The sequence below is a fragment of the Homo sapiens genome, chromosome 2, assembly GCF_000001405.40.
Source record: "Homo sapiens chromosome 2, GRCh38.p14 Primary Assembly".
In the NCBI taxonomy this organism is placed as follows: Eukaryota; Metazoa; Chordata; class Mammalia; order Primates; family Hominidae; genus Homo; species Homo sapiens.
In genome coordinates, this window is record NC_000002.12 from 200,012,872 (window position 1) to 200,035,550 (window position 22,679).

At 39.3% G+C, this 22,679-nt stretch overlaps 1 long non-coding RNA gene across 2 annotated transcripts in view; it reads right to left on the reverse strand.

Annotated features, from left to right (window-relative positions):
* Positions 1 to 22,679, reverse strand: part of LOC124906112 (uncharacterized) — a 204,201-nt gene that overhangs the window by 42,275 nt on the left and 139,247 nt on the right. The window lies entirely within an intron of this gene.

Consider the following 22,679-nt stretch of genomic DNA (forward strand, 5'->3'; position numbering starts at 1 on the left):
TTTGTCTTTGGAAAAATTCCCATTACCAGTGCTCCTAAAAGAGCAGCACCCACCTCTGATTACAAATGGTGTTTCTAGTCTGCACATCCAAAACCAGGAGAGAGAATGTGATGGGCTCAGCTTCAGTGTGATGGGCTCACACTCTCAGATAGGCAAGGACACAGTGTTCTAGTGCTCTTTCCAGGCAGTGCCAGGTATGCTCTCTAAGAAGGGGTATGGGCATCAAGGAAATGATAGTTGGGTAAAGGACAATCATCTCCAATACAAAATTTTGACAAGCTTGTAATTATTTAATTTATTGACTGCTATTGCCAAATATCAATAGCTATTGACAATGTTATTTTAATACACATTTTGATTATGATTTCCTCTAACTTATTTATTTTATAGGTATTATGGAAAATATATAAATAAATCATATCCTTCAATAATAATTATGTCTATCTTAATAGGTATCTTCAGTACCTCACAATGGTATTTGGTAAAGCCAGAGAAATAATTAACTATGTTTATATTCAGTCTTTTGTTGCCAGTGATAATGTTTGAGGCTTTGATAAAACTCTTGAGTTTAACGATTAATAGTATAATTTCTCTCAAAGTTTACCCATTGAAAATTATAATTCTTGATGAAACTAGTTGAGAAATGATAAGCTTCATCTTTATATGTTCCCTTTCTGGTATGTGACATTAAAGTCATTTACTTAAAGATTATGGTTGATTTTTTTTTAAAAAAATCAAAATCCTCACATTTTCAAAGTTAGAAAGCAGCTAAAGATGTTACTTCAATTCCTAAAAGCAAGGCCTTATTAATTCTCTTTTAGTGCTAAAGGATTACCATAAAATTATCATAAATTCTTCTTAATTTCTCTCTCTCTCTTACACACACACACACATGCACATAGAATCATAGAAATCACAGGAATTTTACAGTTGGCCTCCTGAGACAAAACATATAGTATATAAGAATTCTCAGTTATCTGGCTCTGAATTACTCATTTGTAATTATCTGTGGCAAATGGTTAATCTCAGGCTGATGCACCATTGCCAACCAGCCCACCTGGGCCATTCTTCCCATTATGAATTAGTGTGTGGTCAGGGATAGCAAATTACTTTAGCAATAACCAGGGAATACAGATTTAGAAAGACCTAGCTGCAAGAAAAAGTAATTGAATGTACTTCCAAACTAAACAGCCATATGTTTTTGGATGATCTACCATTGGGATTATTTCCATTTTGGCTCCCCTTCATTGATGCAGGTGATTGGGAGAGTGCATTACTAACAACAGTTCCTAAAACGAGGAAAATCTGTTCTCCGCCGGCCTGCTCCTGTGCATAGCCTAAGCAGAGTCAAGAATGACATTTCCTTAAAAATGTAGGTATCAAAAATTTCCTTAAAATTATAAAACTGATTTCATATCTGAAAAAGACAGATTCTCCCATAGGAGGCTATGTCCTTGTAGCTAATAGGACCCTTCCAAAATTTCCATATCCAAACTCTCCGTATAGGGTAGAGGGGGATACAGTGCAAAGAGAGAAAGGGGAGGAAAAGCAGATATGCCTGGACTGCCTCTGTAATTGAACATCTTCTGGCTATTCTTAGATCTTTGGTGAAAGAATTCACTTTGATCAAGTTCTTCAAAGCTTTCAATTACCTACAGGATAAGGATTGTAGATACCAATTTATGATCATGATTTAGAGACTTTAAGTATTTAAATATAATACTATAGAATGAATGAGAATAATTAATATTAATATTACATATTTAAAGCACCTCAATTTTCAGAAGACTTTCATATTATTGAACTCAACTTCCAAATACTTCTTTCTGATAGACTAAGAGCATAAGGGTAATGTGGAAATGTACTACTGATTTACTAATAGTGAATATGCACTTCTGCCTGTGTTGCCAATACTCCATTTCTTCTCCAGCCAGTTTTGCATGCTGCTGCCTGATTTATCTTTCTTTTCTTTTCTTTTTTTTTTTTTTTTTTTTTGAGATGAAGTCTCACTTTGTGAAGTGAGTCTCACGTCTCACTTTGAGATGAAGTCTCACTTTGTTGCCCAGGCTGGAGTGCAGTGGCATGATCTCAGCTCACTGCAACTTCTGCCTCCAGGGTCCAAGCAATTCTCTGCCTCAGCCTTCCTAGTAGCTGGGATTGCAGGCACCCACCCCGCCGCCAGGCTAATTTTTGTATTTTTAGTAGAGACCGGGTTTCACCATCTTGGTTAGACTGGTCTTGAACTCCTGACCTCGTGATCCACCCGCCTCAGCCTCCCAAAGTGCTGGGATTACAGGCGTGAGCCACTGTGCCCAGCCCTGATTTACCTTTCTAAAGGACACCTGTAATCACATCTCTCCCTTGATCCTCATCACCTTTCCTGGAAGTAAAAGCTAGACCTGCTCCACCTTTCTAATCTTATTTCTTCCTTAGCCTCCTCCACAGACCCTCAGTGTTAGTCAAAGTGGCCTCACTAGTGGCTTCGCTGACCAGGTAGGGTAATTTCTTTTTGCCAAAAATGTCTCCTTCCCTTTGCAACTCCATGAATCAATTCAAATCCTGACATTTCTAATAGTTTTGAATAAACATGTTTGATATTATCCTAAGGCTCATAGGTTAGTGCTCTTAAAGCTTTTTACAAATTTACAGATTTATTATTATATTTTGTATTTTAAAAATTAAAATATTATATTTAAATTTTTATATTTTAAAAATATGAAATATAATGACATATAGTGACATATATTTACATACATGTAATTTTTAAAAATTCCATTTAATCCTGTTTGATTTGAATTTTAGTTTGTTCAATAGTAATACTGCCATCCCTGCTACTTTGTTTTATTTTGGTGTAATTTTCCTGGCTTTTTGTTTTAACAAACTTTAGTCATTTTGTTTAAAGACATTATTTCTCTTGCTTTCTCTCTTGTCTTGTTTTAACACAACTTAAGACATCAGAATCTGGTTTTCTTAATTGAGGAATTTAACCTATTCACATTTATTGAGGTAATTGTATGTTTGATTAAATCAGCTAATATTTGTAAAGCGCTCTGAACAGTCCCTAGGACTTGAAAGTGCTGTATTTGTTATATCAATCAATCTTATTTTTGCTTTCTCATTTTGTGTTTTCTCTTTGTAAGGCTTTTTTGTCTTGGTTTGGTTTTGCTTGTTTTCTATTTTGTGTTGTTTTGGGTAGCTGTTCTTCTCTTTTGATGATAAGGTTTTCTTTTTTCACCTGGTATTTGAAAGTTACAAATCTTATTTTTACTGTTCCAGTAGTTATTGTTAGGTTTTTAATAAATATATTTAAACTCACATTTTTCTCAGAATTGATATTTATTCTGTATTTAAAATCTCACTCCCCCCCAGAATAAGGGAAAATCCTCTCACTTACTTTCTCTTTCTCTTTTCCTAGTTTCATTGAAATTGCTTTGAATTTTAAGTTCTAATTATTATGAAATATTTTATGGCATGCTTATCTTTTTAAAAAATTATAGAGTCATATAGCCATATTATCAATAATTATTTAATTTTAATTAAAATTCCTATTAGTATCTATTTTTTCCTCGAATTACACTTCTTTTTTTAAAACCAATTTCTCAGTTTACTATAGCTTTCAATAATTCATTTAGAAAGAATTCATAAGTTGTAAACTGAGATCTTATGTGTTCAAAAATTGCCTTTCCCCACACACGTGAATACTAGTTTTGCTGAAGCAGGAATTCTAGGCTCAAAATAATTTCCTTCAGAATTTAGAAGACATCACTCCATTGTTTTCTAGTGTCATGTATTATAAAGAAGATGCCAATATGCTTTTTTTCTCTTTGGTAGATGTCTTAGTTATTTTGGGCTGCTATAACAAATGCAGTAGACTGGGTGCTTATAAACAACAGAAATTTATTTCTCACATTTCTGGAGGCTGGAAGTCCAAGATCAAGGTGCCAGCAAATTTGGGGTCTGTATTAGTTTGCTTTCATGCTACGAATAAGACTTACCCAAGACTGGGCAATTTACAAAAGAAAGAGGTTTAATTGGACTTATGGTTCCACGTGGCTGGGGAAGCCTCACAATCATGGTGGAAGGCAAGCAGAAGCAAGTCACATCTTACATGGATGGCAGCAGGCAAAGAGAGAGAGCTCATGAAGAGGAACTCCTCTGTTTTTTTTTTTGTTTTTTTTTTGAGACAGAGCCTTGCTCTGTTGCCCAGGCTGGAGTGCAGTGGTGCAATCTTGGCTCACTGCAACCTCCATCTCCCAGGTTTAAGCAATTCTCCTGCTTCAGCCTGCTGAGTAGCTGGGACTACAGGCACGTGCCACCATGCCCAGCTGATTTTTTGTGTTTTTAGTAGAGACAGGGTTTCACCATGTTGGCCAGGCTGGTCTCCATCTCCTGACCTCGTAATCCACCTGCCTCGGCCTCCCAAAGTGCTGGGATTACAGGCGTGAGCCACTGTACCCAGCCAGAACTCTTCTTTTTAAAACCATCAGATCTGGTGAGACTTATTCACTATCAGGAGAACAGCATGGCAAAGACTTGCCTCTGTGATTCAACTACCTCCCCCTAGGTCCCTCTTACAACATGTGGGAATTCAAGATGAGATTTGAGTGGGGACACAGCCAAACCATATCATTCTGCCCCTGGCCCCTCCCGAATCTCATGTCCTTACATTTCAAAACCTCTGAAATCTAGGCAGAGGTTTCCAAACCTCAGTTCTTGACTTCTGTGCACTTGCAGGCTCAACACCACTTGGAAGTTGCCAAGGCTTGGGGATTGCACCCTCTGAAACCATGGCCTGAGCTGTACCTTGGCCCCTTTTAGTCACAGCTGCAGCAGCTGGGATGCAGGTACCAAGTCCTTAGGCTACAAACAGTACAGGAACCTTGGGTCTGGCCCACAAAACCACTTTTTCCTCCTAGGCCTTTGAGCCTGTGATGAGAGGGGCTGCTGTGAAGACCTCTGACATGCCCTGGAGACACTTTCCTCATTGTCTTGGGGATTAACATCTGCTTCCTCATCACTTATGCAAATTTCTGCAGCCAGCTTGAATTTCTCCTCAGAAAATGGGATTTTCTTTTCTACTGCATTGTCAGGCTGCAAATTTTCCAAACTTTTATGCTCTGTTTTCCTTTTACAAATGAATGCGTTTAACAGCACCAAGTCACCTCTTGAATGCTTTGCTGTGTAGAAATTTCTTCCACCAGAACCTTAAATCGTCTCTCTGAAGTTCGAAGTTCCACAAATCTCTAGGGCAAAATGCCACCAGTCTCTTTGCTAAAACATAAGAGTCACCTTTGCTCCAGTTCCCAACAAGTTCCTCATCTCCATCTGAGACCACGTCAGCCTGCTTTTCATTGTCCATATCATTATCAGCATTTTGGTCAAAGCCATTCAACACATCTCTGGGAGTTTCAAACTTTCCCACATTTTCCTGTCTTCTTCTGAGCCTTCCAAACTGTTCCAACCTCTGTTTGTTACCCAGTTCCGAAGTTGCTTCCACATTTTCAGGTACCCCACTCTACTGGTACCAATTTACTGTATTAGTTAGTTTTCATGCTGCTGATAAAGACATACCCAAGACTGGGCAATTTACAAAAGAAAGAGGTTTAATTGGACTTACAGTTCCATGTGGCTGGGGAAGCCTCACAATCATGGTGGAAAGCAAGGACTAGCAAGTCACATCTTACATGCATGGCAGCAGGCAAAGGAAGAAAGCTTGTGCAGGGGAACTCCTCTTTTTAAAACTATCAGATCTGGTGAGACTTATTCATTGTCATGAGAACAGCACAGGAAAGACTTGCCTCCGTGATTCAGTTACCTCCCACCAGGTCCCTCCCACAACACATGGTAATTCAAGATGAGATTTGGGTGGGGATACAGCCAAACCATATCAGGATCTGATGCTTTCTGGTTCTTGCTGTGTCCTCACATGGCAGAAGGGGTAAGGGAGCTCTCTGGGATTTCTTTAATAAAAGCACTAATCCCATTCAAGTGGGCTCAGCCCTCATGACCTAATTGCCACCCAAAGGCCCCATCTCCTATTACCAGCACCTTGGGGGTTAGGATTTCAACATATAAATTTTGGGGGTACACAAATATTTAGTCCATAGCAATAGGTAATCTTTTTTCTGGTCTGTGGTTTTTAGGATTCTCTCTTTAATTTTAGAGTTTAGAAAATTCATCATGATGTGTCTAGGCTTATTTCTTTTACAGTTACTTCTGCTCATCACTCAGTGAGTTCGTTCCATGTGAAGACTCCAGCTCAGTGAAATTTTCCATAGTTCTTTCTTTACAAAAATGTCTAATTTATTTAAATGCAAAAGCAATACTGTAATATGTTTTGCTTTGCTTTAAGGGCTTTTGATTGTGGTAAAATATACAAACATAAAATTTGCCATTTAACTATTTTTAAGTATGTAACCCAGTGACATTAAGTATGTTCACATTGTGACATAACCATTATCACCATTCATCTTCAGAAATTTTTCAACTCAAGCTGAAACTATAACCATTAAATGGTAACTCCCCATTTCCCCCAGCTCCTGATAACCACTGTTCTACTTTCTGTCTCTATGAATTTGACTACTCTAAGTATCTCATATAAGTGGAATCATATGATATTTGTCCTTTCAGATCTGGCTTATTTCATTTAAGCATGTTTTCAAAGTTCAGCCATGTTATAGCATGTATCAGAATTTCTTTCGTTTTTAATGCTGAATAATATTCCATTTTATGGTTATACCACATTTTGTTTATCCATTCATCCATTCATAGACATTGGGTGTTTCCACCTTTTGGCCACTGTGAATAATGCTCTATGAATATCAGTATACAAGTATCTGTTTGAGTCCTTGCTTTTAATTCTTTTTGGTATACAGCTAGAGTTAGAATCACTGGGTCATATGATAATTCTACATTCAATTATTTGAGGAACCACCATACTGTGTTCCATAGTGGCTGCATTATTTTACATTCCCACTAGCAATGCCCAAGTGTTCCAATTTCTCCACATCCTTGCCAACAATTTTTATTTTCTGTTTTGGGTTTTTTTTTTTTTTTGTAATAACCATCCTAATGTATGTAAAATGGTGATTTTTTTCTCATTGTGATTTTGATTTGCATTTCCCTAATGATTAGTGATGCTGAACACTTTTTCATATGCCTACATAATTACTTATTTGATAATTTCCTCCTGATGTTCTCCCTTTTTAGAACTCCAATTAGATGAATGTTGGATCTCCTGCATCTGTCTTTCCTATCTCTCAACTTTGTACTTATTTTCATCTCATTATTTTTTACTATACCCTAGGAGATTTCCTTGGCCACATATTTTAATTTACTAACTCTACTTTCTGTTATGTAAATTCTGTTATTTGAGCCATCTGTTATTTATTTTGGTGATCATGTTTTTAATTTCCAAGGTCCTGATAGATTCTTTTTCACACACATCTGCTCTTCTTTAGGATATGGCATGCTCTTAACTCTCTTTTGTTTTTTTCTACTAACTCTTTCTTCAGGAATTAGTTCTTCTACTCTTTTGGTTTGTTCCCTCTCTTTTATGCTATTCATTTTCTTCAGATGATTGGTGATTGTTTGTTGTATACTCACGTTTATCAATGGTATGTATTGACCTGGATTGGTAGCTAGGGTCCATTTCCTCAGCCCAAGTGAAACATCTCTGTTTCTCTGGCAGTGACAGTTTTCCAATATAGCAAGCTTTCTTTTGGCAGTTGATAAAGGAAGCGGAGAGAAAGATGTAGAACCAATAGTTATCTGAGTCACCTGTTTTTTCATTGCGAATCTCGTAGTGATCATATATTACCTAGGGAGTGCCCTGCTTTTCTGGTCCCAACAACCATCCTGGGAATACTCTGTATCAGGGTTTAAAAATTATTTCACAAATGGAAAATTGTATCCTGCAGGCAAACAACAGAACCAGCAATTCTGAGAGCAGGGGACTCGTGCAGCTGTTCCACAGGTCTTTAATTATTCACCCAGCCTGTCACCCCATTTCCAGCTCCTTTTAATTCCAACTATTGTTGGTTTTAGGATTTCAAAGTTCGTCTGGAAAACTAACTTTCTTCCTTCCTTCTTTTCTTCCTTTTAATCTTTTATTTTCTCTCTCTCTCTTTTTTTTTTCTTTTTTTCTGTTCAACTACATGGGTTGCAGATTCTTCAGCTTCGGGGAAATATGTCATTTGCTTTATATATTCCAGAAATTTTTTACTTGCTTGAAGATGCCCTCTTGGTTTTCAGTAATGCAATAGGTTTGTTCTTATTTTGATATTACTTATGATATTTTGACGGGATTTGGAAAAGAAAGTGAGAGAAATATATATGTGTGTGTGTGTATATATATATGTGTGTGTGTGTGTGTGTGTGTATATACACACACACCAATATGTATATATTTGGTTACAAAATTTTAGTCTGAAGTTTTCAGTTTAAATTTGATCCCTGCATTTTTAAGTCACAGTCATGAGTTCAAGTTAGAGTCCTTCCCTAAAATCTCTTCCACACTGTTAAGACCCACAACCTTCCCTCCCTCATGGGCCCACTCAGAGCAGTCGTGACAGAGGGCAAACTCTTATTTAAAATGTAGGTTAACTATAGCCATTTCTGCCCCCCTTGACGCCCCTAAGGATGGGTGGCAGGATTCATACCCCTGGGAAAAAATCTGATCCAGTTCTCTTGTAGAGACTGATGAGGAAGTAGGTGATCAATTGTCCAACAGCTAGTGAGTGTTTGGTTCTACCAAGGGAGTGCTGCAGCTGCATTGACGAAACCTAGATTGCTTTGCATAGTAACATGGGGTAGATTACTGATAAGCAGTGAAAAAAGTAGAGGGCTGAAATACATGACAGAATGCTGTGGCCTGAATTGTTGGAAATAGTTAAAAGACTTTTAAAAATATAGAAATCAAACACTTTTTACCTATTAGCTCTTCTTTGATGTGGGTCCCCTTCTTCTCACCAATGTTTGAGTGGAGTTTGCTGTACTCAACACGCCCCTTTTTTTTAGTGGGGGTATTTCTGGTTTCGTATGGAACACAGAAAAGGCAACAATTGTGGGGCAAAAATAAAAGTGAAAATAAGATTTCAGGGGTAACAGAAACTAAGATTCAAAAATGACATTGAGTATGGGAACTTCTGGGACTCTTCAGGACGTAAATATTGGGAAGGAAAAGAATGTAGAGTTTCCCCTGACATCTGGGTTACATATTTCTTATTGAACTGTCATTTAATTGCTTGCGTGTGCACATGTTCATTATAAACTTAGGTGTGGGAAGTACTTTTTGTGGTGTGCATCTATCTTTTTGCTGCCCATGAGTCTAGCAGGGCAGTGCCTACATAAAATGCTTTCATTAAATAATTTTAAAATCACTTAAAATATTTTTTGCTGATCCATTCATATCTCTACTTCTTCTTTGTGAAAAAAGATCTATTTTTGTAAGATACGTGGTTGGAGTAAGAGCTAAGGCTTAAAGGCAGATTGGCCTGTCTGAGGGTTAAATCCACAACAAATCTACCTTACAACCAGGTATTAAGGCACTGAACATGTTTTATTTTAATGAAACAAGTAAAAAAGTACACAAATACACACTGTAGAAAGCACAACCAAGAAAGTGGGTTAAGATATGATTTACCTGTTTTGTTTAATAATCATTGATTTTCCAATTCATATAAGATAATGACATAGCTCTAGAAATGTATGCCTGTTTTTGTTTTTGTTTTTGCCTGCCTAGAATCCCTTCCTCTTTCTTTGGGTAAATAGTCATTTGGTTTTCCTTTGAGCAACCATCTGCTGTCTATTGCAGATTTGGTTGTATTTTCGATCAACATGTCCTCCTTCCCTGGGCCAAGACTCCAGCCATGCCAGTCAGACTCCTCCTGCAGTTTGAATGCTAGGCCAACTAACGGAAGGATTAGAGTTAATTCATTTCTCCCATGCTGCCCTCAATAGAGTATTCATCAGTTTCTGCTACCAAGATCCTAATCAGAGCTGTCCTGATTATTGTCCTTTCTGAACCTGGGTTCTTTAAATTCTTTTTTTTAATCCAGTTTTCTGAGCTACTGAAATCCAGTCCAGTAAGTTCCCTTTTTTTGTTAAAGTCAACCAGACTCAGTTTCTGTGGCCTGCAACCAAAGAACTCTGACAGATACAGCTCCTATACAAATGGTCTGTTTAGATTTTCTATAAATATTTGATAAATTAATAAAGAATTTGGCTGGCAATAGCTACTCAAATAAAGATTGGCTTCCTCAAACAATAACATTTATTAAGTCACTGGTTATTGTGGTATTCCATCAAAAAGGACTCGGTATTATCCAAGGCTTCATGAAGGAACGTAAAAGGGGAGGGACTCGCATGTTTCTTTACCTCTAGAGCATGTATGTTGAAGGAGGAACGGGGCACATACAAATCAAAACTTGTTGAGTTCCTTCTCTATTTTTGTTTGATCCTTTAGTGACATGTACTACAATGGTACAAGGACTAGAACTAAAGTCCCATAGCATGCTTGCTTTGACATCTGAAGAAAACAGGACAGGCCTCAGATGGCCTAACACAAGTTCCCCTCCCTACTCTGCTAGTGTGGAAAAGGTTCCCTAGCTAATAACTCTTCTTATCATGGGGACCGATTGCAGTTCCTATTTATCCCTAAGGAGCAAGCTTCAGTCCCTGCCAGCATGTGGAATCATTCAAAGAGGCCAATCACATTTTCCCACAGGAACCAAGGGGCATGTCACCCTCTTGATACTGCCAAGCTTGCCTCCCATGGCCCCTGGTTGTTCACCTTGGTCCCAAGTGCAGTCCCTGTGTGGCCCTGTGTGTTGAGCAATGTCCTCTCCCAGACTATCAGTATCAGTGATGAATAAACTGCTGTCAATCTTATCTGTGTGGTGTCCAGTGTCCTGAAATACCTCCTTCACCAATGCGGTGAATAGGACATGATCAAAGCACCTATCACAAGAGGAGCTCAAGGCTTTCTCCCTTAGGCCAAGAGGAATGTACTTGGGTATGAAAGCCAAGGACACAACTTGGCCACATCTCTTTTCTAGGAAATAATGCTAGGGACTGGAGCAAAAGCTCCTCTAGGAGATGCAAAAGCTAAAAGCTCTTACTCTCAACAGAGACTGAGAGTGCCTCATGAGTATCAGGGTGATGAGAAGGCCCAGGACTATCTGCTGCTTGGCTGCTCTTAGAAACGACATGGGAACCAGGGCTCACAATGGCACACCCCACCTCACCAGCAGATTATGTTGGGCTTTGGGGCTCAAACTCAGGTTGTAATAAGAAATGTACCTTTATTTAGAATGTTACCATCTCTCAGGTAAGAATTTGAGGATGAGAAATCCAAGCCATTTTTCTGTTTATCATGAGCAGCACGTGCCATTCACCAAATAAGTGAGGGGCTGTAAAGGAATTTAGTTGACTGATTTCTGTGGCCCATCACTTTCACTACTTTTCCCCCCTCATAAAGGCCAACTCAACCTTCTTTTACATTTGATGGCTAAGATACATAAGAAGCATCAGCCCCCTTTTTGCTCTCCTTTGAATATTGTTTTAATTTCAATAAGAGGTTCTGTTCTAAGATATTTATTTTATAGCCCATTTACTCTTTCTTTTAGGGCTGGGAAATGGAGATTGGAGTCTGGGGACATGTGTTTGAATCTGGATTGGTCTCTTACTAAGCTTTGAAACTGTGAGGAGGTACTGGACGCTGGTGTACTCTCCTGTAAAATGGGGATATCACGTCTCCCTGGGAGAGCTGCTGTGAATATTTAATGAGATCATCATGGATATCAAGCCCTGGATCAGAGTCTGGTGCTTAATGTGCCTCAGCTTGTGTTCATCTCCACCCCATCCATCCTTTTAAGTTATAAGTCCTTTTGGCCTGGGAGGCTGAGGTTGCAGTGAGCTGTGATCATGCCACTGCACTTCAGCCTGGGTGAAAGAGCAAGACCCTGTCTCAGAAAAAAATTTGTAAATGGGTTTCTTCCTCATCAAGAATTACTAGATATAGAAAGAGACAAGAAGGCTTGATCTATGTGGAGCGTGAGACCCACGGAAGTAGACGAAAGCATCTGGGAGTCTCCAGGGGATGTACATTCTTGTCCCCTAGAAGTAGTGGTAAAGTTAATTACCACATAAAAGAATGGGACAGTGAGTAGGGCCAGTCCTATGTGGGAGAGAATGCCTTCTACAGATGGAAGGATAAAAGTGGGCTTGCTCTAAATCTCTTGAGGCAGGCATGTCAGCAGTCATAGGGACTCTGGTTATAGCTTTCTTGTAGCTTCTCTACAACCTCACTGCCCCCTTTAGACTTCCTATGTGCAGTCTCCTCTGATTCCTGGAAACACTTCCTCTCAGTTTGTTATCAAGTGATAAAGGGCCTGAAGAACTCATTGACACTGGAGTTGATGACTGAGAACATACCATGTAATCCCTTCCAAAGGTGGATGGCATTTAACAAGGGACCATATCTTATTCCAGAAAAATTGCATTCTTTGTGGATCCTCCCACCTCAGCCCCCCGAGTAGCTGGTACCACAGGCATGTGCCACCATGCCCCACTATTTTTTGTATTTTTTGTAGAGATGGGGTTTTGCCATGTTGCGTAGGCTGGAGAAATGGCTTTCTAATGGTGCAATTTCTGAGTGAAGGCTGAGCATATAGTTTAGAACTTGGACTTTATAATTAGAGTCCTGGATCCATCACTTAACAGCTACAAAATCTTAGGCAAGTTATTGTACTTCTCCTCTCTAAGAATCAGTTTTCTTATCTATAAAATAGTAGATATAGTAACACCCACCTTATAGGATTATCATGAAGAGTCAGGGAAATGATCTCCATGAAACTTCTAGCCCACTGCTGGTGTTTATAAATGCTGCTCTCAATAAATGTTAGTTGTTATTGCCATGATTGTTTTTATTACTTATGTGAAATCCCATCTCATTGGCCTTGATCAGTTCTATTCATATGTAAAGTCAGCCCAGTATCCAGGAAAGGTAGAAGATTCATTTCCTCTGAATTAGTCGTAGGAAGTGGCATATTCAGGTCATTTGGATCCCTGCCTGCCCTGGGCTGAATTCACAGCTCTTACAATAGAACCAAAGCGTTGTCTTTTCCAGACACAGTGGAGAAGCTCCCTGTTTCACTGCTGCAGAGTTAAATTCTAAGATGAAATATTTTACCTGTTTAGCATATTGTTAAATTAGGCTGGCTCCCTATCTTTTGAAATACACATTTTGGGATTGATGGATTTAGAGTTTTTTGGTTTTTAAGTTTTGTTCGTCCTAGGTTTAAGTCCTTAAGTCTTTTCATCTCCTCTTCCATGGATAAACATTGCTAAAATATAAACAGTCAGTGACCTGTTTGAATAAAATGAAAGTCAAAAAAGGCTATAATGAAGCTTAGGGTTTGTTGGTTCTTGGTTTCCGGTTTTGTTTTTTCAAGCTATTGCCAGTTGGATGTTGAGGATACTCAGTTCGCCCTTTGTGAATGAACAGACGCTTGACATGGCCTTGCATTTGGCCAGGCCATGATCTCTTCCATTAAAAAAAAAAGGGTGTAAGTAATTCCTCCTTTGGAGGAACAGTTTTCTGGGACAGCTGTTTTCCAGCTTATGGGGAGAAAGAATTTCTAGCTGCTAGTTAGCTTCAGCTGAGAGGGTTGTAGACTTCCTGCTCTTCCCCAGTTGGTGCTAATGCATTCCTGATTGTCTGCGGTCACCAAACTGCTCTCTTCATTAAGAGAATAGACATAGGGATCAATTTTCAGAATCATAGACATTTAAACGTGCACAGAATTTGGCTATTTTAGACATAAGTACCTAAACTAACATGAAAAATCCTGGATGCCAAACATCTGGGTAGACCTCAGAGGTAGCAGATATTATGTTTCAAGGTACAAAGTGACTTTCCCTTCTAAAAGGGCTGCCTTAAAGAATAAACAAGGCTTTCACTGAGAAAGAATTCTAGCTTTAAGTTTACATTCAGAATAACTCTGGCAAATCATTTTGACAATTCCAGTTTCTTCATCTCTAGCGTGAGTACATTTGTTTGAGCCAGACTCACAGGCCAGATGTGAAAACCGTATGACGTACATGATTTCATCTTATTATGCTTTTATTTTTGGAGATTAAAAAAAACTTGGGCATTTATCCCAGAGAAATAAAACTTACATCCACAGAAAACATGTACACAGATGTTCATAGCAGCTTATTAGTAATAGCCAAACACTAGAAGCAACTCAGATATTCTTTAGTGAGTGAGTGAATACACTGTGGTATATCCATACCATGAAATACTACTCAGCAATAAAGAGAAATTGATCCATGCAACTTGGATGGATCTCAAGTGAATTGTGCTGAGTTTAAAAAGCTAACCCCAGAAGTTTACATACTGCATGATTCTTCTATTTTTTTAACAGTCTTGAAGTGACCAAATTTTAGAGATGGAGAACAACAGATCAGTGGTTGCCAGAGAATAGGGATAGGGGAGGCAGGCAGGAGTTATGGTTATAAAAGAGCAGCAGCAGGCCAGGCACGGGGGCTCACGCCTGTAATCCCAGCACTCTGGGAGGCCAAGGCAGGTGGAACAAGAGGTCGGGAGATCGAGACCATCCTGGCTAACATGGTGAAACCTCGTCTCTACTAAAAATACAAAAAATTAGTATTTTTTGGGTGTGGTGGCGAGCACCTGTAGTCCCAGCTTCTCGAGAGGCTGAGGCAGGAGAATGGCATGAACCCACGAGGCGGGGCTTGCAGTAAGCCGAGATCGTGCCACTGCACTCTAGCCTGGGTGACGGAGTGAGACTCTGCCTCAAAAAAAAAAAAAAAAAAAAAGAGCAGCAGCACAGGGAATCCTTAAGGGCACGGATCTTTTCTGTAACTTGAGGTAGTGGTGACTCTGTGAACCTATATGTGCAATACAAAATTGCACAGAATTCAATACATACACAGATCAGTGCATGTAAAACTCATGACATGAATAAGATCGGTGGATTGTATCAATGCCAATTGCCTGCTTGTGACATTGCACTATAGTTACGCAAGGTATTATATTGTGGGAAACTGGATAAGGACTACACAAGATCTCTCTGTATTATTTATTACAATTGCATGTGAATTTATAATTATCTCAAATTGAGAACATTAATTAAAAAAATACAGATAGTAAAACAAAAATTCTTCCATGACTAGGCCATGGCTAAATTAGTATCTTCTATGATAAGATACTAATATCACCTTTCAGGCCAGTTGAACTTCTTGGTACTCTTTTTGTATGTTTCTGTATTTTATCCATTATTGTACCATTGCATTTGTTTGGAGCACAGTGACTTTTCAAAAATGAATTCACACTGCCATATTAGCCCAACAGACCTAGCTTTAAAGCTATATGTATATAGTATATAACTGCAGTATGATAGTTCTGCAAATGATAGAACTTTAAAAAATAATTCCAAGGCTGTATTCAGATTCAGTGCGGGGCATCTCTTCTATACAGACAGTCCTCTTATGGGGTTAACATTTTCAAATGTTTGAACTTGTTCACAGTATTTAGTAGCTTTTATACAACAGTTTAAATTATTCATGTAATTCATGTTCTCTATGGAAAAGTTAGAAATTCAAACAAGCAAAAGAAAAAGATAAAAATCAAGGATTCCAACTAATTTCTAATGGGAATTTGGAAAGTAAATTTGTCTCCTGAATCTCAAAACCATCTGCTGCTAATTAGGACTTTTAGCAGAAAGTTTATGAAGCCAGAATATGGATTTTATTAAGCAGGACTCAATTTATAATCAGCAATAAATTTGCTTCTTCTCCCTTTCTTTCTACTCTCCACCTTTCAAAAGAAGTGACTAATAGGCAGAATTTCACACATCCAAAATGAAAATTTGTGTAGACTCCAAGATAACAATGTCACAATAGAACCAAACTTCATAGCTTGGGGAAATTTGAAATAAATCAGATAAGTCAACTGAGATCTTTAAGAAGGTAATGCACCAATGTTCTAGGCCTCAGTTTTCTTGATGGTAAAGGGCAGCTGTTGGACTTAAGGAACATAATCATATTATGATACTTCTATGAGGGAGTTGCAAGTCAATATCTATAAAAAGAGGTTGAAGACTATTAAAGACTCAAATGAGGTAATCATTCCTTAATAAGTTTCTCTAAGACTGTAACATTAGGCCACTAGAAAAGAATCTGAAAAGCAACTGTCAGGTTTCCAAAATAGTGGCTAGTATTTGTGTTAGGAGCAGTCAAGCATGTGTCCAAACCCCACTGTTTTTACATGAGTGTGCAGAGATGAAAATGGCCCACAATCTTGGCTGAAGAACAAGTCATCATCCTATGATAATACAGTTGGGGTTAATGCTAATGCTGGATATATTTGGAAACTTACACATGTGCTTTAGACAAGGCTCATCTGTGGTCAAATGCTGGTCTCCAAGAAAAGCAGGTTGATGACTGGGCTCCTCCTACTCTGAATGCCTACCTGGGATGCTTCCACGTGGTTCTGTAGGCATGTCCATCTAAGTTATTATTACTGGCAAATGCTAACTTTTAAATATTCACTTATGTTTTAGGTCCAAGTCTCTTTAATTTCTAATCCTGGTGGAGTGGACAGACATGGAAAATTTACAGACTCTGTTTACCCCCATTAACTTAAGGTCCAGATAGGCAGGACTGAAGGCTAGCTCCAGGCCCTTTTTCTCCTGGGCCCCACCCCATTGTCTATTAGACCTTCAAGAGAAGAACTTCTCAAGCAGGAGCCCCTTACTTAACCCCAAATACCCTCCAGCTGCCTAGGAAGAAAGAAAGATGGAGAGAACCAAAAAGAAGGAGTTTAATTCCATATTGCTGCTCCTGAAATTTCTATTCCTTTAGAACAGAAGACCCCTTAGGTCTTCTTGAAAACTCGATTTTGTCCTTGAGCCAAGGACAGTGGGTATGGAAGAAAGGGAGGTGATGAACATGCTCTAGAGTACATGGAGAGGGGGACCCTACTCCTCATATCCCCTTGGTCATACCTCAACATTCTGAAGTAGGATATTGGTGAGAAGCAGATGTTCATTGGGTCACTACTGGATGGGTCTAATGTGCCAATGGCTTGTGCTAAATGCCTCGCTTGTTTTTCTTCTCTTGGACTTGCTTGACTTCAGATGGAACGGCTCTATACAGCCTGATATTTTATAGTTGCCTTAGATTTTCAGCTGCTGAGAAGGTCTATGTTTTTCCAGCTTTTTAATCTCAGTGGTGGGTAAGTTCAACCTGGAGTAAAAGGTAGAGTATCTCTGCACGCTACCCAAATCAACTTTGCCAGTACTGCACTTTGTTCCTAACTTGACTCCTTGAGTCTATTTATAAATTGGTTGGAACTGATAAATAAGGAGGAATGAGTAATTAGTCTCTCCCAACTTCCAACAGTAAAGCAAAACAGTAGTGTCATTGAACTCCAAATGTGATCAACAACTCTTAAAAGAGAAAGAGAAGGGGTCAGTCCAATTACTGAGTGAAAAGAAATCTGACTGAAAAGAAAGGAGTAGTACAGTAGCAAAATTTCAAGGGCTACATGTAGATGGAATGCTGGGTCTGGGTCTATCTGGGAAGATGTTGAATGGACCACCCAGAGTCCAGTTAAATGAGTCTAAGGACATTCCTGAGAGAAAACAAATTCATTTTAGAAGAAAGAGTCAGGCTGTATACTCTAGACCAACTTACTAATTATTATTATTATTATTGAGACAGAGTCTCACTCTGTCACCCAGGTTGGAGTGCAGTGGCATGATCTTGGCTCACTGCAACCTCTGCCTCCCAAGTTTAAGCCATTCTTGCGCCTCAGCCTCCTGAGTAGCTGAGGTTACAGGGATGTGCCACCACGCCTGGCTAATTTTTGTATTTTTAGTAGAGACGGGGTTTCACCATGTTTGCCAGGCTGGTCTCAAACTCCTGGCCTCAAGTTATCCACCTCCCTCGGCCTCCCAAAGTGCTGGGATTACAGGCATAAGCCACCATGCCAAGTTACTAATTCTTAAATATGGATGCAAAGGGCAATTCTGGTTAGTGTTTATCTATTGAATTTATCTTCTCATCCAGGTCTCTACTAGAAATATGTCTGAGCTTGCTATATCGTCTGTGGGATTTTACTTTGAAACAGTTCAGAATGAACAATGTGATATATGTGTATTTAAGTTAATTTTAACCTGTATTTACAGTGTAGCGTATTAGTCAATTAACATTTGAAATTCCCTAATCTTCAATCCATACTCCAGAAATGGCTGAGAAAATATTTCAAATATCCTCATCAAAATCTAGCCAAGCACACATCTTGAATACCACTAATATCACTACTGAAAAATTATTTCTAATATCTTGTATGTGGATTAAGAAGGTCACATTGATCAGTTCCTTTAAGAGTGTCTCACACTAAAAAGGGGAGAGAGACATTTTCTCCCATTTCCCAACAGCAGTCTGGCAGTCAGGGTCCCCTTGAATCAACACTGGAAGCCTGAGATTTGCTAGGTTAGGGGCAAGGAGTGGGGACAGCAAAGCCTGTTGGGCTGGTGGTATGGCCAAAGCAGTTGTGGTGTTCAGCTCAGGCACCCAGCAGAGGGGACAGAGACAAGAGTGTCCTGGGGAAACCTCAGCAGGCCCAATAGGTTCAGGAGAGTTTGGTGAACATGGCAGCACCCAGGGGAGGGAAGATGGGGCAGATAGAGAGAATTAAAATATCAGAATCACTAATGAGTCCTCTCTAAGAACTCTCAGAAATACATGGTGGAGATTTTGCTGGAATCTGAGGGTCAGAACTTGTCAACATGGATTACATATGTATAATCGCATCAGAGTGGGAAATTAGACATGAAAACACTGAATTAACATAGAAATCTGAACAGGATCTCTCAAAGAATGTTTCCAATTTCACACCTGACCCAGCCAAAAACACTGCGTTGACTCCTTAGAAAGACTAGAAGGCGCCTGATAGAGTCAGGCTGTCATCGATGCATCTAGTTTCCCAGAGGCACACAGCTAACACAAGTGAAGAGGCCTGTGGCTGTGGCACCAGGAGTCTTGTGAATGATTCCAGACCTGGCCTGAAGTACCTGCCTACGTTCAAACACAGATTTTCATTTGGGAGTCAGAGTGACATGAAAAAAGTAAATATTTGAATCACCTAAAGAATCTTTTCAAATCACAAATTCCTCAGGGCTCGCTCTGGATTTACTGAATTAGAATTTCTTTTCTTTTTAATTTAAAATTTTAAAATTTTTATTTTTTATAGACTTGGGAGTCTTGCTATGTTGCCCAGGCAGGTCTCAAGCTCCTGGCCACTAGTGATCCTCCCAACTAGGCCTCCCAAAGTGCCAAGATTAGAGATATGAGCCACCATGCCACACCTTAGAATTTCTGGTAATGAAATTGAGAAAGAGTGTGAGACCTCAGATCATTTTAACAGGCCCAACCTACCTCCTTTCCTTACCCTGGTGGAGAACTAGCTTTATTAAAAATATGCCGTTATCCAAGGAGAAGTGGTTTCAAGAGGAGAGGAAGGGAGAGAATGAATTCACAAGGAAAAAGTCAAATCATGTCAACAAAGGGAGAAAGTTTATTGTATTTTTTAAATGCAATCTCCAAAAAGTATCTTCCTACACAAATATATACACCAGAAATAGTTTTCTGTCTCTCTCTCTCTCTTTTTTTTTGTGTGTGTGTGCAATATATTAGTTGAGTTTATAGTGACTGTTCACTGGTCTGTATTTTCTCAGTCCTGAAGTCAAAGTAGGTACTATTATCTCAAATGTACAGACAAGGAAACCAACAGACACAGGAGGAAAAGTAGGTGTTAATGTTTACCCAGCCAGTAAGTGGTAGAACTGGGAATTGAACACACACTACTCCCTAATTTTTAAGACTTTATAGCATAAATACAAAAATACAGTGAATAACCTGGAAATATATTAAAAATAATAATTATTGAAATTAAGACAACATCCAGAGAATATTCAGAAAAGTTTCTCTGGAATTAGGAGGTAAATGCAGGGTCAGGAAATTTTAGGGGAGAGATGGGGAATATTTGTTCAATGTTAATGGGGAGTGGGGTAGGGAGGAAGAGATTGGAGAGCCAGGGATTTTAGAGGAGGTGGCAGGAAAGAAGGTCAAGGAACACAGGTGGCCTTGAAGAGAGCAAGAGGAGGGGCACTCCATCTGGAAGAACACAGGCATGCAAAGGTGTGGATGTAGATAAGCTTGAAGTTGGGGGGAGACCCAGACAGCATGAGGTCATGTCTAACGGTTGCCATTTTCTCAACAGAGTAGACTATAAGGCCTGACTGATGCAGAAAGTGAGGAGAGGGAGGTTTTCTGGGGGAGGGGGAAGTAATTTATTTATTTATTTATTTATTTTGAGACAGAGTCTTGCTCTGTCACCCAGGCTGGAGTGCAGTAGCAACATCTCGGCTCACTGCAAACTCCGCCTCCTGAGTTCACGTCATTCTCCTGCCTCAGCCTCCCGAGTAGCTGGGACTACAGGCGCCCACCACCATGTCTGGTTAATTTTTTGTATTTTTAGTAGAGACGGGGTTTCACCGTGTTAGCCAGGACGGTCTCGATCTCTTGACCTCATGATCCGCCCGCCTCGGCCTCCCAAAGTGCTAGGATTACAGGTGCGAGCCACCGCGCCTGGCCAATTTGTTTGAGCTTCTGTAATGTTGAGTGGTAGATCTGAGCATCACATTCAGGTCTGTCTCCATCCAAACTCCCTGTTCTTTCTCCGACTCCAGTGTCAGCATTCGCTGCTGTTTCTATGTGCAGTATTGTCGAATCAAATTCTGATATTATGCCTTTCTAGTTAAGTACCCTCCTTGAAAAGTAATTTTTGTCACAACTAATTTGATGGATACGAGAGACACGACAGTTTTTTACATTAAACTAAATTGTTTCCACTTCTCCATAGTCATTTCTTTGCCTCCAAACTGCACTCCCCCGAGTCCCTGGTTGGTTAGGATCTTTGATCTTTGTTGCCCCATATGAACTTTAATTTGGGAGGAATCTCTCACTTTCTTGGTAACTATGTACAATTGCCATCAATTTCTGGTCTAACCCTCCTCCTAGTCAATTATCTTTCTGAAGAGAAATCTCATTTTTTCCTTCTGGGATTTTTGGCTGCTGTTTGATTCTGAGAGAGCACACTAGGGAAAACAAATTTTCCATTCCTACCAACTTAAGCCTTCTCTAAACAAAGCAGAGAGCCCTTCTCTGAGCGAGCATGTATTCATATTCCCAGAGGATCCACTGTATTTCTGAATTTTGAGTCCCTGTTGCCCATCCGGAGTCTCTCTCCACATGCCATCTGTATGACAATAACAGTGCTCTCCCTGCCACAATCTCATAATAGAAACCCCATTCAAAACACCCTAAAGAAAGAGCCCACAGATGTTCCGGAAAAATACACAATAATCCTTGGCTGATTAATTTAATATCCTTTGGAGACACTCTATAGATCACTAGGCTGCTGTTTTATTCTGGAAGCCATAACTTCCACCATTCTAGCCCCTGTAATGTTGCATTTTGATTCATCTCAGGGCAAGGCAGATGATACCCTAAACATATGAACGAAAGAGCTGAACCATATATTATTGCCTTCCTAATAAGAGTATCAGTGCCTAGGAAAGAAGCCTTCAGTAGCAGAGCTGAAATGACACATGAAAGGACAAATGATGTGGGGAATTTGAAACCTATTTTACATCTTGCCAAATGACTTTGTATATTTGTGATTTTTTAAAAGATTATGACTTTTTAATTTCTATGTTAGGTGTTTACTGTGTTTGCCTAGAAAATAAACCTTCCCACTTTAGCTCCCAATAAAATCAAATAGCAAACAGAAGTATCTATCTAAAATCTGACAAACTACTGGATTGTGTATTTGTTTTGATACTTCATCTAGTAAGTACATCTGTCTATAGCAGGAGTTGACCAACTTTTTCAGTAAAGAACCAAAGAATAAATATTTTAAGCTTTGCAGACCTAAAGAAAATGGTTTCTGTTGTAACTAGCCAATTCTGCTATTATAACATGAAAAGATAATAAATATGTAAACAAATGTGTATGGTTGTGTTTCAATAAAACTTTATTTACAAAAACAGTCAACCAAATTTAACCTGTGGGCTGTAGTTTGCTGAGCCCCTGGTGTGTACCATTTAGAGTATAAGCTACATAAGGACAAATGAATCCTCTAACAAGCAGTTTGCCAATGACTGGTGGGAAAAATAGCTACTGCTATTAAGAACTTACTATGTGCTAGGTATTGTGGTAAGAATATACAATACTGTCTAATGAGGTAGCGACTGGATACCCGTTTTGTGGATTGAAAAACAAGGCTCAGAAAGCTTTAGGAACATATCCAGGATCACACGGCTAAGTAGTGAAATCCTGTGACCTGCCTTTCTGTCCGTGAGGGTGTGGCATGATGGCTACCTGATAGGACTCTAAGGCACTAAGCTGTATTTGTGTCGCACCACTTGTGAAATAACTGGGCTCAGGACCCCAGCCATTGTGCCCTCAATTTCATATAAAAGCTGAGATGCTGAGCAGTCTTGGGGCAGGAGTTGTAGTTGGTGGCCTCTATGCTTTCCCGGAGCTGTGCAGCGAGGTGGCTTGGATGGGTGTGCTTGGGAGCC